Source organism: Homo sapiens, chromosome 4, assembly GCF_000001405.40.
Source record: "Homo sapiens chromosome 4, GRCh38.p14 Primary Assembly".
NCBI lineage: Eukaryota > Metazoa > Chordata > Mammalia > Primates > Hominidae > Homo > Homo sapiens.
The window spans coordinates 30143037-30160763 of record NC_000004.12 but is presented as its reverse complement, the minus strand read 5'-3'; the positions used below and the strand labels follow the sequence as shown (position 1 = coordinate 30160763).

At 38.6% G+C, this 17727-nt stretch overlaps 3 annotated features.

Annotated features, from left to right (window-relative positions):
- Positions 7231-7828: an enhancer, noted in NCBI's record as "H3K27ac-H3K4me1 hESC enhancer chr4:30154558-30155155 (GRCh37/hg19 assembly coordinates)". NCBI's record gives its function as "activates a minimal SCP1, AML or CMV promoter by ChIP-STARR-seq in primed H9 embryonic stem cells {active_cell/tissue: H9 hESC(primed)}" and the evidence as "EXISTENCE:reporter gene assay evidence [ECO:0000049][PMID:30033119]".
- Positions 10704-11327: an enhancer, noted in NCBI's record as "OCT4-NANOG-H3K27ac hESC enhancer chr4:30151059-30151682 (GRCh37/hg19 assembly coordinates)". NCBI's record gives its function as "activates a minimal SCP1, AML or CMV promoter by ChIP-STARR-seq in naive and primed H9 embryonic stem cells {active_cell/tissue: H9 hESC(naive and primed)}" and the evidence as "EXISTENCE:reporter gene assay evidence [ECO:0000049][PMID:30033119]".
- Positions 12361-12900: an enhancer, noted in NCBI's record as "NANOG hESC enhancer chr4:30149486-30150025 (GRCh37/hg19 assembly coordinates)". NCBI's record gives its function as "activates a minimal SCP1, AML or CMV promoter by ChIP-STARR-seq in naive H9 embryonic stem cells {active_cell/tissue: H9 hESC(naive)}" and the evidence as "EXISTENCE:reporter gene assay evidence [ECO:0000049][PMID:30033119]".

Sequence of the window (17727 nt, the reverse complement as noted above, 5' to 3'; positions counted from 1 at the left end):
TTCAGTACACAGAGATTTTAACCCTGGCATCTTATTTGACTACTTTCTATAGCACATTATAGTCAAAATGAGATATTCTAATGTATTAAACAAGAAAACCACATGTGCAATTCCCCCCTCCCACACAAATCCCCAATGGAGTGACTTATCTTCTTGAACCAGAGCCAGTTAATGTTAGATATGTAATACATTATCCTGATCCCTTGTGACTTAAAACAACTAACATTCTAGGGATTGGCAATTTAGTGATGTTGGGGTGTGAGTAGCCGCTGTATGTTTTCATCTTTGTGGGGTTGGGTGAACTGGGTGCTGACTGGTCTAGCTTGACTTATGCTGGGATGGATTCCTTTTGCATCAAGAGGGCTCTGACCCTCCAGCCTGCTTGTCCAAGTTTGTTTTCGTGACAGCTTCTCAAGGTTTCAAGATACTAAACAGGTTTCTAAGATACTGAGCAGAGGCACAGAAGCCTTTGTGAGTCCTTGGAAACAGTATGACATTACCTCCTCCAAATTACATCAGTCAAAGCAAGTCACAAGTCAGGCTCTGAAGTGCACAAAAAATAGAATCTGCTTTTTAATGGGGGGAGCCTTAAATTCATTTTCCAAAGCATATAGATACAGGAAAGAATAAAGATTTGGGGGCATTTTTATAGTTTGCACAAGTCTCATATCTCCAAAACGAATTTCCAATACAGAAAGTAGCAAAACACTAAAAAAATGAGATTCCTAGAGACTGGGCTCACAATATAACTGAAAGCCCACATGAAATCACTGAAAATGGGCAGTTTAGCTAACTCATTAACCTCCTAAGATTTTGTCTTCTTCTTAAACTAGTAGAAAGCTATGGGTATTTAGTCCAATCTGTGACAGAGTAATTTCTATGCATGAGAAAACGAACACATTAATAAGAACCATCATAAAGTTCAGAAATCAATGACAAGGATTTTTTGGTTTACATGATGCAAACAGAAAGATAAACCTAGAAAATAAATGATTGGTGATAATTTTTTTCTGCTATGGAGAAGTTCACCAAATGGAGCTGGCAATATGGTGTTGAAGGCTGTTTTTTTGTTTGTTTGTTTGAGATGGAGTCTCACTCTGTTACCCAGGCTGGAGTGCAGTGGCATGATCTCAGCTCACTGCAACCTCAGCCTCCTGGGTTCAAGCAATTCTCCTGCCTCATTCTCCCAAGTAGCTGGGGCTACAGGTGCACTCCACCACGCCCAGCTAATTTTTGTATTGTTAGTAGAGACGGGGTTTCACCATGTTGACCTCTCAAACTCCTGACCTTTTAAACTCCTGACCTCTTGATCTGCCTGCCTCAGCCTCCCAAAGTGCTGGGATTACAGGCGTAAGCCACCATGTCGGGCCAAGGGTTGCTTTTACAAGTGAGGAAGAGGTTCAGAGACTTTCTGTTGAGTCAGCCCTGTCATATCACAGTGCCTGTTGTTTGACCTCATAAGATAGTGACTGAAAGTCTGTGAATTTCAAGTTTACTACCAATAATAATTGTGACAAAGTAAAAATATTTGGTTAGAGATTTAGCACGCAGTCCATGGAAAATATATTGAGAAACTCAGATTTGGTTTTTGCAGGAGAGGAATATTTTACCAATCATGATATTTTCTGGAAAAAAAAAAGTAAATTTTAAAGAAATTGGCGCATACCAGAAACAAAAACCTGAAAGAAGTTATGAAACTGGTGAAATTAGTGTTATATATAAATATATATATATTTTTTACATTTAAATTATTCCTAGAATGGAATAGGAAGAATTGAAGAATACTTAGATGTTTATAAGCAAACAAATTTTATTCAATGAGGAGAAAATAAAGATCCAGAAAAGTAGCCAATTTAGGCAAGTATTCATAGCTAATCTGTTGACAAAGCTGAGACAAGAATTTGGGATTTCTGATCTCTAGAACAGAACTGTCTGCTATTCTATTCCTCATGATATTTTCAACCCCTGTAAATATGCATAAGTTTGCCTTCATTTTCATGTGTTTATATACTACCTGTGAGTGCCTGCCCATGTGTGTCTGTGTGTTTGTGTGGTGTTTTAAAGAAACATAAATAAGATCACCGGGCGCGGTGGCTCACGCCTGTAATCCAAACACTTTGGGAGGCCGAGGTGAGCAGATCACAAGGTCAGGAGATCGAGACCATCCTGGCTAACACAGTGAAACCCTGTCTCTACTAAAAATACAAAAACAAAATTAGTCGGGTGTGTTGGTGGGAGCCTGTAGTCCCAGCTATTTGGGAGGCTGAGGCGGGAGAATGGCGTGAACCCGGGAGACGGAGCTTGCAGTGAGCTGCACTCCAACCTGGGCGACAGAGCGAGACTCTGTCTCAAAAAAAAAAAAAAAAAAAGAAAAGAAACATAAATAAGATAGTAAAAAAAAAATGTTTGACTAAATATTACTCCAACATTCTAAGTTTACCACCTCAAGAAAGTAAGATGGTACGGCAGGGCGCAGTGGCTCACGCCTGTAATCCTAGCACTTTGGGATGCCGAGGCAGGCGGATCACCTGAGGTCAGGAGTTCAAGACCAGCCTGGCCAACATGGTGAAACCCTGTCTCTACTAAAAATACAAAAATTAGCCGGGCATGATGGCAAGTGTCTGTAATCCCAGCTACTTGGAAGGCTGAGACGTGAGAATAGCTTGAACCCGGGAGGCGGAGGTTGCAGTGAGCCGAGATCGCGCCACTGCACTCCAGCTTGGGTGGCTGAGCGAGGTTCTGTCTCAAAATAATAAGAATAAGAATAAGAATAATAAGAAGAAACTAAGACAGTACAAAGGTAAGAAGTGTCAGGAACATGTTAACAAATTGAAAAACCCCAATGAAGAAGTAAACTTGTAACATAATTTGAACAACTTTTAAGATAGCAGAGTGTATCAAAATGTTTGTGTTTTACAATGCAGAATAAAACCAAGACAGGTCTTTATTTATTTTAAATTCTTACTACTTCAACGCGAGTGGGAGAAGTGAATATTCTGTAACCTTTTCCTGGATTCATCTCCAGCATATAAGAATCATTTCTATGATAAAAATATTATAATGTTGCCATCTTCCATGTGATTTGCTTTTTTATACAGATTAATATTTCACATATTACAAATTTCACTAGCTATACACGTTTCCCACTATTTTCCAATACATTGATGAAAATAATAACCCTGTACTTCCAGCATCACAGGCTTTTTACCAAACAAGAATTTCCTCCAAGAAAAGTTATGGTTATTACCTTAAAAGAGATGTGTTATTTTATTTTTCTGACAATGGAAGGCTTCTACAAGTCCAAAGTGAGAAGCAATTATATACTATAGAGCAGAATAATAGAACACTGCACTAGGATAAATTTTGTGCCCACTTAATTGAAATACTTGCCAAGGAGCTAGGTGAGAGCAGTGTATTTCAATCCCTCTAAACAATGGGTAAATTAGACACATTCCTTCTAAATGACACATTTTAGCTGTCTGGAAGCCTATTCAGAGTTGTGCGTGGTAGCATAAGTTTGTCACTCTGTTCCCTACAATTGGTCCATTTCAAGCTGTGCTTTGAAGCTGTTTATGCCAAAGAGCCTTCTTAATATTAAAAAAAAAAGAAAATGTTTTTAGATATAGCACGCACACCAATACTTTTCAGCTCTCTCTAGGATACATGTATGTGCAGTTGTTTTTCTGTGTCTCTCCGTCTGTGTGTTTCTCATGACATACATATAAAATGTAAAATATGAATACATTTTATTAATTGTCATATTAAATCAAGTTGGCAGAAATTAGATATTTTTACATTGCAATCCTTAGCTGTGCTTTTATTTATTTTTCTAAAACTGGAATATAATGATGATTAGACCGTGCCAGTAATTCAAAGAGCAAAGAAAATAACTAAATTTGTTTTAATATCAAATTCTTGAAGAAGTATCTTTTTATACTTCTGAAAAAAAAATTACAATAGAAAATTAAAGAAAAGATAATTCATTCCTGAAGAAAGCAAAATAAAAATAAGAGAAAATAAAAGCGAGCAACACGTGGCTTTATCAGTTACAGGCAGTGTGGCCATGATAAATCACCCAAATCATACATTTTTGAGAGTGAAAGAGGGTATTATTAATAACTAAGCCAAGACCACAGACATAGCCTGGAAATCTAGCAGTCAAACAAGGCCATACGGTTCCTCTGGCCACCATACTGTAGGTTTTCAAACCTTGAACATATTTTTAAAAATAATATTATATTTAGTTTGCCTATTAAAATTATTTAATCTCTTATATTTTTATGTATAGTTTGAAAATTCTTTAAAGACAAAGGGTTGAGTTGGAGAAATGCTCTAAAAAATGGCAAAATTTACTTCTAAGGCAATATAAAACATATTTCCTCTCTGTATCTCAAGTTGAAAGTCCCTCAAGAAGTTTTGAATCTTAAATATCCCACAGCTTAATGTGAACTAGGTTTAAACCTCTAATTTATCATTGCATCTGAAAAAAATTGTTATTACATGGGTAATTAACAATCTCTCTCAGGAATTTTTAATTTTCTTTTTTGGGTTTCAGTTAAAAAAATCTATCTCTTTTTTGTAAATTTGATGGAGTGCAAATGAAGAGCTCACCTGAACATGAAGAGTGCGAAACCGTTCCATAAAGTGTGGGAAACACTAGGGCTTGATGCCTTCAGAAAACTATTCTGGCTTTACCTCTAAACCTGCTCTTGCCCCTACTATGTTTGAGAAGGAGCTTCTTCAGTAACTTCATACGCCTTCTAAGAACACGTTATGTATTTTGTTTTTTTGTTTTAAAAAAATCACATAATTCATATGGGACATTTGATTACCCCTTTTAAAAGTAGTGCTTATAATAAAATTACTTAATTGTTATTGTGTTCTTGTGATATTTTTCTATGGCCATATCATGAAGGCAGGAGTAGTGGAAGGAGAGCACATCCTCAAAGCTGAGTACAGGGTAAGAGAAAGTCAGATATAAAGAAGTGAATCAATTAAATATGAACATGTTGGTGGGGTGCTACTGCTATGAATGAATGTCCCTCAAACTTTATGTGGTGAAAATTAATCCCCATTGTGGGGATATTATGAGGTGGGGTCTATGGGGAAGTGATTAAATCATAAGGGTTCCACCATCTTGAATAGATTATGCTTGATATGAAAGTGTTGGAGGGAACTAGGCTACTCTCCTTGTGCTTTGCTGTCCTTCTACCAAGTGAGGACACAGCATTCATCCTTATTTTGTGCCCTTTGACCATGTGAGGGCGTCTTTGGTGTCATCTATGAGGCACGGGCCCTCATCAGACATTGAACCTGCTGGTGAATTGATCTGGACTTCACAGCTTCTGGACTGTGAGAAATAAATCTCTGTTACTTATAAATACCGAGTCTCGAGTATTTTGTTATAGCAGCATAGAGACAGTCATTTAATTCCATATGGATATATTTAACATCAGTTAATTAAGCTAAGGGTTGGAATTATGATTGGAATATGGTCTCAGAGACTCAGTTCACAATAAAGAGTAAAAAGAGATCTAGAATGAGTTTCTGAATAATTGTGGAAAGCCTTTTTGGTGAACTTCACTAGACTGAAGAATCTAGCCCTAAATTTCAATTTATGATCAAGGGCCTTTAGATTGTGAAGTTTTATAAATATTTCTAAGATAGGGATTAAGAAGGAATTCAAGGGGAAAACTTTTTTGATTTTTCATTTAATTGGATCATCACAACTCTCTTCAGTGTTGGGAGAGTGAGCAGAAGCAAGTTCCTGGCTTTCCTGGTAGATTGCTGTCAGTCATGTCAGCATCTGTCCCAAAAACTCATATTGCAGAAGAGGATCAGGAGGATTAGTAAGCTAGTTTCTAACATTTACTGCCTTTTATCCTCAAAACCTAAAGCTTTCTTTGCCTCACTTACTGACTGAAAGACAAAAAAGAGAATGTCTTCTTATTTTATATGTTGGGTTTGGTAATGGTGGTAAGTAGGGTAGAGTCAAAGTTTGACACAAACTATATATTTTTTAGTTCCTCTGGGTGAGATGTGAGATCGTTAATTTGAGAAACTTCTAGCTTTTTGAGGTAGATGTTTACTGCTATAAATTTTCCTCTTAACACTATTTTTGCTGCATCCCAGAGATTTTGGCATGCTGTGTCTCTGTTTTCATTCCTTTCGAAGAATTTTTGGGTTTTTGCCTTAAGTTTGTTGTTTACCCAAATTTTATTCAGGAGCAAGTTGTTTAATTTTTATGTAATCATGTGATTTAGAGAGATCTTCTTGGTATTAGTTTCTGTTTGTATTCCACTGGGGTCCAAGGGTATTATTGCTATGATTGTGATTTTTGGAATGTATTGAGACTTGCTTTATGATTGAGCATGTAGTCAATCTTGGAATATGTTCTGTGTGAAGGTTAAAAGAAAGTATATTCTGTGGTTGATGGGTGAAGCATTGTGGATGTCTATTAGGTCCAATTAGTCATGTATCAAGTTTAAGTCCAGAATTTCTGTTATTTTTCTGCCTTGATGATCTGCCTGGTAGTATCAGTGGGGAGTTGTAGACTCCCACTATTATTGTGTCACTGTCTAAGTCTTTTCATAGGTTTAGAAGTACCTGTTTCATAAATCTGATTGCTCCAATGTTGGGTGCACATATATTTAAGATAGTTAAATCTTATTAAATTGATTCCTTTATCATGATTTAATGCTTATTTGTTCCTTTTTACTATTGTTTGTTTAAAGTCTATTATACTTAATATAAGAATAGTGACCTCTGCTCTTTTTTGTTTTCCATTTGTGTGGTAGTTCTTTTTCCAACCTTTTATTTGAGCCTGTCAGTGTTTTTACACATGAAATGAATCTTTTGAAGATAGCAAAAGAATGAGTCTAATTTTTTTATCCCACTTGCTTTTCTCTGCCCCCACTCCTGGTTCTGCTCCAATATCGAAGTGAGGTTGAGGCTCAGCCCAGGTGCTGTTTCAGCCCAGCTGGGTGTGCACACACTAGGGGCAGTGTTGATATGCCAGCCTTCTGCTGCCTCAGCCCTCTCTGTACTTTGGGTGTCAAGGAGCATAGGAGGGGAACCTAACGGGGGGTGCTGAGGGCAGCCAGGTGCTGTCCTGCAGGTGCCCCTTGGTGCCAGCAGCCTGTGTGCCATGGATGACTCTGGGAGGCAGACAGGCTCCTAGGTGGAAGGGGGCGGGTCCCTAGTGAAGCCTCACCTTCAGGCCCAGGGCAGGCCTGAAGCCTGGGGGCTGGGATGCCAGTCCTGTGGGCTGGAGGGGGAACTCATGGTGCTTTTCTCTGGGCCCAACCATGGCTGCCCATGAGCCATTCAGCATGCACTTCTTCACTCTGAGACCCATTAAAGCCCGAGCTCAGCCAGGGCAGGGCAGAGAATGAAGAGGACAGAGAGGAAGGGAAGAACAGCTGCAGAGAGGATGTACCCTATCTGCTGAAAGCTGGAGGTGATGGGACAGCCAGCTGCAGAAAGGAATTACCTTCTTTGCTGAGAGCTGCACAGATGATGGGATGACCTGCCAGCAGAGAGAAGCCACTCTCTCCAGTGCCTACTCTCTGCTGAGAGCTGCAGACATCAGGCAACTGAAGGCAGAGAGGAGCTACCTTCTCAAGGGCCTCCTGTCTGCTGAGAGGTGAACACTCCATGGAATGACCTGCTTACAGAGGGGAGCTACCCACTGTAGGTCTCCTCTGAGCTGTTCTAACACTTAATAAAGCTCATCTTTGCCTTGTTCCCCCTTCACTTGTCTGCATACCTCGTGCTTCCTGGACGCAGGACAAGAACTCAGGCAAAGGTGCCACTGGCCACAGGTTTTCAGCCAGAAAATTGACACTCAAAAGATCCCATAAGAATATCAGTCAAAAATGGATATTGTAGAAAATGTAGGCAGACCATAATCTTTGAATAACTTAATATTAAAGGTTATATTTGAGTGCTATAAAAGGAAAGTAGTATTTATAAGTTTTTCAGTTATATGGAAATAGTTGGACCACCAATATCGCTTCATCAAAAAATCCAAGTAATAACTGGGGTAAAAAGACAAGTTGTGAGATTAAACAACTTGATTTGCTTAACCTCAAAGGAATATATATAATTCTTCTTGTGTCTTTGAAAAAATTAATACTGTAAATTTCAAATTTTGTATAAATTTGGCTAACCTGGGGATTAAAAAATAGCATATGCAAAACTGTATCACAATATTCAGAACATCTGGATATTCAAATAATTTTAATTACCCCCTTTTCTGGCTCAGTTTGAAAGATTTTTCAAATGCACTTTTTCTGTATTATTTCATCTTTCTCTTATCTACAAGTTTATGAAGTTTAGTCTTTGAGCAAAATTACTTTTTGAAGAAAGAGAAATATTAAAAGCAGAGATGAATATTATTGCTTTAATAAAAATAATAGTGTTGAGATTTACAGTTTCCAAATCAATGACACAGATTTAACTTGTATCTAATGGCCAATACGTGTTTCATTATTTTTTCAGATGAGAAAATGGGTTAACAGCTTAAAGAGACTTTCTTAAAGTACTTTCAGAAAATGTCAAATAGTAAATAGGTGACAGATTTATCCAAAATTATGTTAACTGTATCCAAATACTATGCCATTTTTTCCTAAATTTATTTTTCTTTTTAAAGTTTGCATTAATATTAAGCCAGACTTTAACATCATCTATGTTGTCTTACTGGAGTAAAAAAGTGATTGCAACAAAAGCTATTCAGTCTTCGAGTGTACTTTTCCTGAAAATTTTTATGAGTTAATGTTTGAGGGAAACTAGTGGCAGAAACAAAATGTTTTCTCAATGCTTTTCATACTCATCCTAGAGATAAATACGCATCCATTTGGTGCGATTTGTGAAAGATGTGAGTGAATTATCCATCTTGTCATTTTTTTTTTGGACTTTCCTTTGAAAATAAGTCACTATCTGTTATTTTAACTACATTTATTCATAACATCCATATATTTTCTTGTTGAATTAGAAAGGTAAATTGCTATTCCAGGAGTTATGGACTGGAAATTATTTACTCAAATGCTGAGCTCTTTTCTGGACATAAAATTTGTCCAGTACTCTATTTGTCTTCATGGAGCTCATAGTATAGTGGAGAAAGACAAAAAATATTTACATGTTAGCCGAGCACGGTGACTCATGCCTGTAATCCCAACACTTTGGGAGGCTGAGGCAGGAAGATCATGAGGTCAGGAGATCAAGACCATCCTGGCTGACATGGTGAAACTCCGTCTCTACTAAAAATACAAAAAATTAGCCAGGTATGGAGGTGGGTGCCTGTAATCCCAGCTACTCGGGAAGCTGAGGCACGAGAATCACTTGAACCTGGGAGCGGAGGTTGCAGTGAGCTGAGATCATGCCACTGCACTCCAGCCTGGGCGACAGAGTGAGACTGCCTCAAAAAAAAAAAAAAAAATTACATGTTGGGGGATTATCATGCTACAGAGGAAAGACAAAGCTAGGTCAGGAAAATAAAGGAAATGGGGGAGGTGTTATCATATTCTGTTATTTGCTATGGGAACTCTCTAATAATGCAACATTGTGGAAGAGATAAAAGGAAAGTGAATGAGTGAGCCTAGTGGTTTTCTAGAAGAGAGCATTCAGGTTAAAGGAAGTAATAGATGCAAAAGCTGAGGTTGGTGTGCAAGAGAGCATCCAGGGAGCTGGCACACTCAGAAAGCATTGCACATGTCATTAAATTAAGGATCTTGAGATGAGGAGATTATTCGAGATTACCCAAATAGGTATTAAGTTTCATGCGCGTCCTGTGAAGAGACCACCAAACAGGCTTTGTGTGAACAATAAAGCTTTTAATCACTTGGGTGCAGGCGGGCTGAGTCCCAAAAGAGAGTCGGCGAAGGGAGATAGGGGTGGGGCCATTTTATAGGATTTGGGTAGGTAAAGGAGAAAGGGGGGTTGTTCTCTGGCAGGCAGGAGTGGGGGTCACAAGGTACTCAGTTGGGGAGCTTTTGAGCCAAGATGAGCCAGGAGAAGGAATTTCACAAGACAATGTCATCAGTTAAGGCAGGAACAGGCCATTTTCACTTCTTTTGTGGTGGAATGTCATCAGTTAAGGCAGGAACCGGAGATCTGGATGTGTACATGCAGGTCACGGGGATATGATGGCTTGGCTTGGGCTCAGAGGCCTGACATTAAGTATAATCACAAGGACACTTAGGGGAACAAGGGGAATTTTGGCATCCAAAAGAAAGCAATGTGATAATTAAAATATAATGCCATGATGCTCATTTTGATTGGGTAAGAAAAGTCCACAAGCCAAGGGATGCAAGGAATGCAGCTCTAGAAACTGAAAAAGGCAAGGAAAGGGATATTCACTTAGAACTGCTAGAGAGAGCCCAATTCGGCTAACATCTTGAAACTCACTTTGGATTTCTAACCCACAAATCCAAGAGACTAAAACTGTAGGGTTTTTTGTTTGTTTATTTTAAACCATCAACTTTGTGGTAATTTGTTACATCAGCCATAGGAAACTAATATGGGTGGGACCTTTGGTAGCATTTGAGTAGAGATCGGGTAGAAATAGAAAGAAGAAAAATCACCATTTGCTAAGAGGAGGCGAATCATTCCCAGAAGTGGAAAAAAGATGATGTGAAAGACAGAGGAGAAATGCCTGGAGAGATGTTCTTTTGAGGGAACAGGGGAAGTGATCCTGGGTACAAGTTAGAAGAACTGGCCCCAGGCAGAAGCAAGAGCAGCTCACTGACTTCCACTGGAGAGCAGGAAGAGTATTTGAATTTAGATGCAGAAGTTTCTGGAAAAAAAGCCAAAAAAAGACCATTGTGTACACTATTAATTTTTAAATAGTCAGTTTCTTGCGCGTCCATGTGAAGAGACCACCAAACAGGCTTTGTGTGAGCAATAAAGCTTTTAATCACCTGGGTGCAGGCGGGCTGACTCCGAAAAGAGAGTCAGCGAATCTCTGGCGGGCAGAGTGGGGGTCACAAGGTGCTCAGTAGGGGAGCTTTTGAGCCAGGAAGAGCCAAGAGAAGGAATTTCACAAGACAATGTCATCAGTTAAGGCAGGAACAGGCCATTTTCACTTCTTTTGTGGTGGAATGTCATCAGTTAAGACAGGAACCGGCCATCTGGATGTGTATGTGCAGGTCACAGGGGATATGATGGCTTAGCTTGGGCTCAGAGGCCTGACAGTCAGCACATATATTCATATATTGCCATTACTAAATCATATATATCAGCACTAAAGCCAGAAATATTTTATTAATCCCTTAAAGTTATTCAAATACATTTTCATTATTTTCTTAGCAACCGGAGATGTAATGATTGAGATCCCAGCTTTGGCCCATAAAAATTTCAATGGCGCTTTGTTTTATCCTGATATAAAATAATTTATAAGGAAAACTTTATTAATCAGAGGTTTTGTTGCTTTTGTTATAATCAATTTAAGGAGATTTCAATTTTGTCTGACATTAGAAAGGCTGGAACATAGACTATATATATTCAAACAAAAACAGATTTTGTCAGGCCTCTGAGCCCAAGCTAAGCCATCGTATACCCTGTGACCTGCACATATACGTCCAGATAACCCAAAGCAAGTGAAGAATCACAAAAGAAGTGAAAATGGCCATTCCTGCCTTAACTGATGACATTCCACCACAAAAGAACTGAAAATGGCTGGTCCTTGCCTTAACTGATGACATCACCTTGTGAAATTCCTTCTCCTGGCTCATCCTGGCTCAAAAGCTCCCCCAATGAGCACCTTGTGACCCCGCCCCTGCCCGCCAGAGAACAACCCCCTCTGACTGTAATTTTCCACTATCTACCCACATCTATAAAATGGCCCCACCCCTGTCTCCCTTCACTGACTCTCTTTTCGGACTCAGCCTGCCTGCACCCAGGTGATTAAAAAGCTTTATTGCTCACACAAAGCCTGTTTGGTGCTCTCTTCACACAGACGCCAGTGAAAGATGTAATAGCGCTTTTTACCTAAATTTAAAAGAAATTTTACATTATCATTATCTATAATAAGAAGTCATACAGTCTAATTGTTCTAAAGTATTCTGAAATCAGTTCACCTAAGCTTATTCCCAACACCACCACTATTAGAATTATGAACCTGGACAGGTTCTTTAACATTCAGTGTTCTCATGTAAAATGCACAGAGTAAAAGTACCCGAGTGACATAATTGAAAGAGTAATTTAGAAAAATGCCTGCTGTTAGCTTTTGTGACTTTGGTTACCATTATCTTATAAAGGTTCATTTTTTAAATTTTATATGCGAGGTGTTGACAAAAAGAGTCAGACTCTGTAGAATATTTTGACATTTATTCTGAGCCAAATATGAGTGACCATGGCCCATGACACAGCCCTCAGGAGGTCCTGAGAACATGTGCCCAAGGTGGTCAGGGCACAGCTTAGTTTTATATGTATTTTAGGGAGGCATGAGACAGCAATCGAATATGTTTAAGAAATATGATTGGTCCAGAAAGGCGGGACAACTCAAAGTGGGAAAGCGGGTTGTTGCGGGGTGGGGGTGTCCGTAGAAAGGAAACCTTCAGGTTAAGATAAAAGATTGCCAAGGCCAAGTTTCTTTTGAAGTCTTATAGTGGCTGCCCTTAGAATAGAGAATAGATGACAAATGTTTCCTATTGAGACATTTAAAAGGTGCTAGACTCTTAGTTATTCTCTTCAGGATTGGGAGGGCCTGGAAGAAAAAGATCTAGCTATGTTAATAGAGGTGCTTTACAGATGCAAAATTTCCCCCAAAAAGGACAGTTTTACAGGGCCATTTCAAAATATGGCAAAGAAATATGTTTTATGGTAAGATATTTTGACTTTCTTCTTTGTTATGCCAGAGTCAGATTGGAAAGCAAGTCATGATACACAGAGTTCCATTAAACCAGTCTGATGAGAATTTATAGTTTGTAGGGTATGACTCCCCAGACCCCTTAGGTAGGAATTTGGGCAAGATAAAAATTTCAGAGCCTAGTCCTCAGAGGTTTTGCTAGTCATATGGTGAGAGTTATATGTATATTTTTTAAATGTAGTGCATATATTTAAGGTATATGACATGATATTTTGATATACATATGCATAGTAAAGTGATGACTAGTCAAGCAAACTAACATATCAATCACCTCACATAGTCACTTTCTTGTGCATTTTTGTGTGTGTGTGAATGTGTAAAGAGTAACTATAATCTACTCTTTTAGCAAATTGGCAGTATTATTAACTATATTCCTCATACTCTCTAGTAGATCTCCAGGCTTATTCACCTGACAGAATTGCAACTTTGTACATTTTGCTGCATACATCTTCCTTGGTAACTACCTTTCTACTCTTTCTATATATCCATTTTTTTATTCCACATACAAGTGAGATCAGTCAGTCTTTTTCTGTCAAACTTATTTCTCTTAGCATAGTGTCTTCTAGTTTTACCTATGTTGTTACAAATGGCAAGCTCTCCTCTTTTAAGGCTGCATAATTATCTATGTATCTATCAATATCATCAAATTTAACGCACATGTAGGTTGTTTCCATATCTTGGCTATTGTGAATAATGCTACAATGAATATGAGAGTCTTTACAAGTTCATAATATCATTTCCTTTGTGTATATATGCAGAAGAAGAATTGCTAGGTCATATGATAACTCTATTTGTATTTTCTTTAGAAACTTCCATACTGTTTTCCACAATGACTGCACCAACCATCATTTCCACCAGCAGTGTACAAGGGAGCTACCTTTTTTCCACACCCTCAATATTTGTTATCTCTTGCCTTTTTAATAATAGCCATCCTAAAAGGTGTGAGGTAATATCCCATTGTGTTTTTTGTTTGTTTGTAGAGATGGGATTTCACTATGTTACCTGCAATATTGCTGGTCTTGTACTCCTGGGCTTAAGCAATACTCCTGCCTCAGACTCTCAAAGAGTGTGCAGTAATATTGTGTTGTTGTTGTTGTTGTCATTGTTTTGTAGAGATGGGGTCTCCTTAAGTTGCCCAGGCTAGTCTTGAACTCCGGTACTCAAGCGACCCTCCTGCCTCAGCTTCTCAAAGTGCAGGGATTACAGGCATGAGCCACCATGCCTGGCCTCTGGTAGTTTTGATTTGCATTTCCCTGATTTTGATTTGCATTTTCTAGTAAGGTTGAGCGTCTTCTCATATGCCTGATGACCATTTTTGTCTTCTCTGGAGAAATGTCTATGCAGGTCATTTGCCCATTTATAAAAGGTTATTTGTCTTTTTGCTATTGAGTTGTAGAGTTATAATTCTTTTTTTTTTTACTTTTTTTTTTTTTTGAGATGGAGTTTCACTCCTGTTGCCCAGGCTGGAGTGCAATGGCGCTATCTCGGCTCACCCCAACCTCTGCCTCCAGGTTCAAGTGATTCCCCTGCCTCAGCCTCCTGAGTAGCTGGGATTCCAAGCATGTGCCACCACACCTGGCTAATTTTGCATTTTTAGTAGAGACGGGGTTTCTTCATGTTGGTCAGGCTGGTCTCAAACTCCAGACCTCAGGTGATGTGACCGTCTTGGCCTCCCAAAGTGCTGGGATTACAGGCATGAGCCACTGCACCGGGCCTAGTGATAATTCTTTAAGATACGGTTCCTCCATTTCCTAGTCTACACAGGACTCCTGTTAATGAAAGAAAAAAAAAAGATGCATGAAAATCCTTGCAGAGAAAACTATCTATAACCAATGCCAAATAATAACATTTATTAAGAAATTAGAACTTGACCTCGAAGGATGGTACAAAGGTCTGAATGTGTATGTCATTCCTATAGTTTTATTTTGCAACCTAATTATCAATATGATGCCATTAGAAGGTGAAGCTATTGGTAGATGGATGATTAGGTTGTGTAGGTGGAACCTTCATGGTAAGATTACTGCATTTATAAAAGAGGCCTCAGAGGACTGCCTTGCCCCTTCCACTATGTGAAAATAGAGTGAAGGAGTCATCCATGAACCAGAATATGGGTCTTCACCAGACACAGAATCTGCTGGTGCTTTGATCTTACATATAAAATTACTTCTATTGAGAAAACAGTCTTACAGTTGAAAAATAAGAATATAAAAATTTAATTTTTAAAACATGAGCAACAGAATTGAACACAGAGTTTATTGGAGGAGATGTACCAATGTCAAATAAGAAGATGAATAATAATTAACATGCTTATTTATCAGGATCTGCAAATTACAACTATAATGGAATACCATTTAACAACCATTAGAATGACTGCAATTGTAAATACTAAAGAAAATTTAATGTAAAACAAGTGAGATTCTCATATAATAATGGAAGGAATGTAAACTACTACCACACTCTGGAAAACTCTTTATTTTTTTATTACTTACTAACTTATGTGCTAAGCTTTTGCTAACCTATTGGCTTTTCTTTACCAAAGATGAATACTTACGTTTTTCTTTCAATTTATATTCTAGTGGTGAGTATGCTATTTTACTGAAAATTCAACTAATTCTAAGTTTATAACGAAATGAAAATTCTTTACCTAATTGCAATCAACTTGTTTCATCCAATCATAGATTTCAGTTGCACCATAACGTAAGATAATTCAAAAAAAATTACATAGTATTAATTTTATGTGACAAAATTATTAAGCTATTAAAAAAACTATTTCAGACCTCAAAATGATTTTTCTTTTTTTTTTTTTTTTTTTGAGACGGAGTCTCGCTCTGTCACCCAGGCTGGAGTGCAGCGGCGCTATCTCGGCTCACTGCAAGCTCTGCCCCTCGAGTTCACGCCATTCTCCTGCCTCAGCCTCCCGAGTAGCTGGGACTACAGGCGCCCGCCACCATGCCCGGCTAATTTTTTGTATTTTTTTAGTAGAGATGGGGTTTCACCATGTTAACCAGGATGGTCTCGATCTCCTGACCTCGTGATCCGCCTGCGTCGGCCTCCGAAAGTGCTGGGATTACAGGCGTGCGCCACCATGCCCGGCCCTCTTCTCTATCTTTTGTTAGGAAACTGAGATGGACTCCTGTGAACTCCACTGCCTAAACTCTCAACTCGTATATCAAGCTGCCTACAGGATGTCTAAGAAGCATGTAACTCAATACATCCTAAACTGATTTCCTAATCTTCCATACATGCTTTACTTACTACTTTCCCCACCTCTGTTGTTGCTGATAGCATTTTTTAACTTGCTTAGGTCAAATTCCTGGGGGTGAATTTTTACTCTTTTATCAAGTCAAATATTCTAATCTGTCATGAAATCCTACTGGCTGTTCCTACAATATATTTAGTATCAGGACACTTGGAACTACTGAACTGTCCCACTCTGGCCGAAAGCAACCAATATTTCTTGCCTGGGTTATCTCCGAGCAGAACTACAATCTAAGCTTTAAAAACAGCCACTGCTCATTCAAAATTTAAGTTAAATTAAGTAACACATCTGCTAATAAATTTTCTGCGCCTCCCTTTTCAACTCAGAGTAATAGCCAAAATTCTTTCAAAGGCATGTGTGTTTTCCCCTGGCTCGAACCCCTTACTTCTAAGGCCTTAAACACTCAACACCCTTGTTCTTCTTATCATTCTCTGAGACACTGGACTTCTTTGTGTTCGTTGCAAAGATCAGGTATGCTTCTGTCTTAGGGCATTGTTCAAGCTCTTTTCAGTACCTGGACTGGTCTACAACAGCTATTTCCTTGCTAACTGTATTGCCTTCCTTAAGTTTGGGAGGAGGTGGCATCTTCTCTTTTAAGATTACCCGAATCACTCTACTTAATACTGTAGCTTGCTGCTTTCTCCAGAACCCTCCCACATGCACACATTCACAATCCTGTTTGTTCTACTGTACATTTTTTTTCTCCTTTTTTACATGTCACTTGTTATTTTCTCAAGTACAATTTCATTTACTTCTTAATTATGTTAATTGATATTAACATAATAATGCTTCCACTTACAAATGTAAATAATGTAAATAATGCTCCCCCTTACAAAAATATGAGATCCCTGAGGTCAGGGAGTTTGACTGCTGTATTCACTAATGTATCCTGAATGCCTTGTGCATGCCTGATATATAGTAGGCACTCTACAAATATTTGCTGAATACGTGAACAAATTACTAAGCTGCAGAGGATCTCAGACAATTTGGTAGAAAATATTGGCCGGGCATGGTGGTTCACGCCTGTAATCCCAGCACTTTGGGAGGCCAAAGTCACCTAAAGTCAGGAGTTCACGACCAGCCTGGCCAACAGGGTGAAACCCCATCTCTACAAAAATACAAAAATTAGCCTGACATTGATGGTGGGTGCCTGTAATTCCAGCTACTCGGGAGGCTGAGGTGGGAGAATCACTTGAACCCAGGAGGCAGGGGTTGCAGAGAGCCGAGATCAGGCCATTGCACTCCAGCCTGGGCGACAGAGTGAGACTCTGTCTCAAAAAAAAAAAAAAAGAAAGAAAATATTAAGAGAGATGTACCAGATTTTCTGACAGTAAAGTATGAGAATATTACATTTGAAAAACTGAATTTAAATGACGCAATTATAATTATATCTTAAATTAGTGAAGAGGACCATTTATATACTTAAATTCAAAGTAAAACAGTTATGGTACATGTGAACATTTGTAGCTAAAAGACTAAGAGCTCCTTTTATACTCTGGATTTAGATTAATTTCTACAGGCACTATTTGAACATGCAGCTCTACCTTTGGCTCTCCTGCCACGTATCCTTCATTCCAATTCTAAATTTTGTATTAGGTCC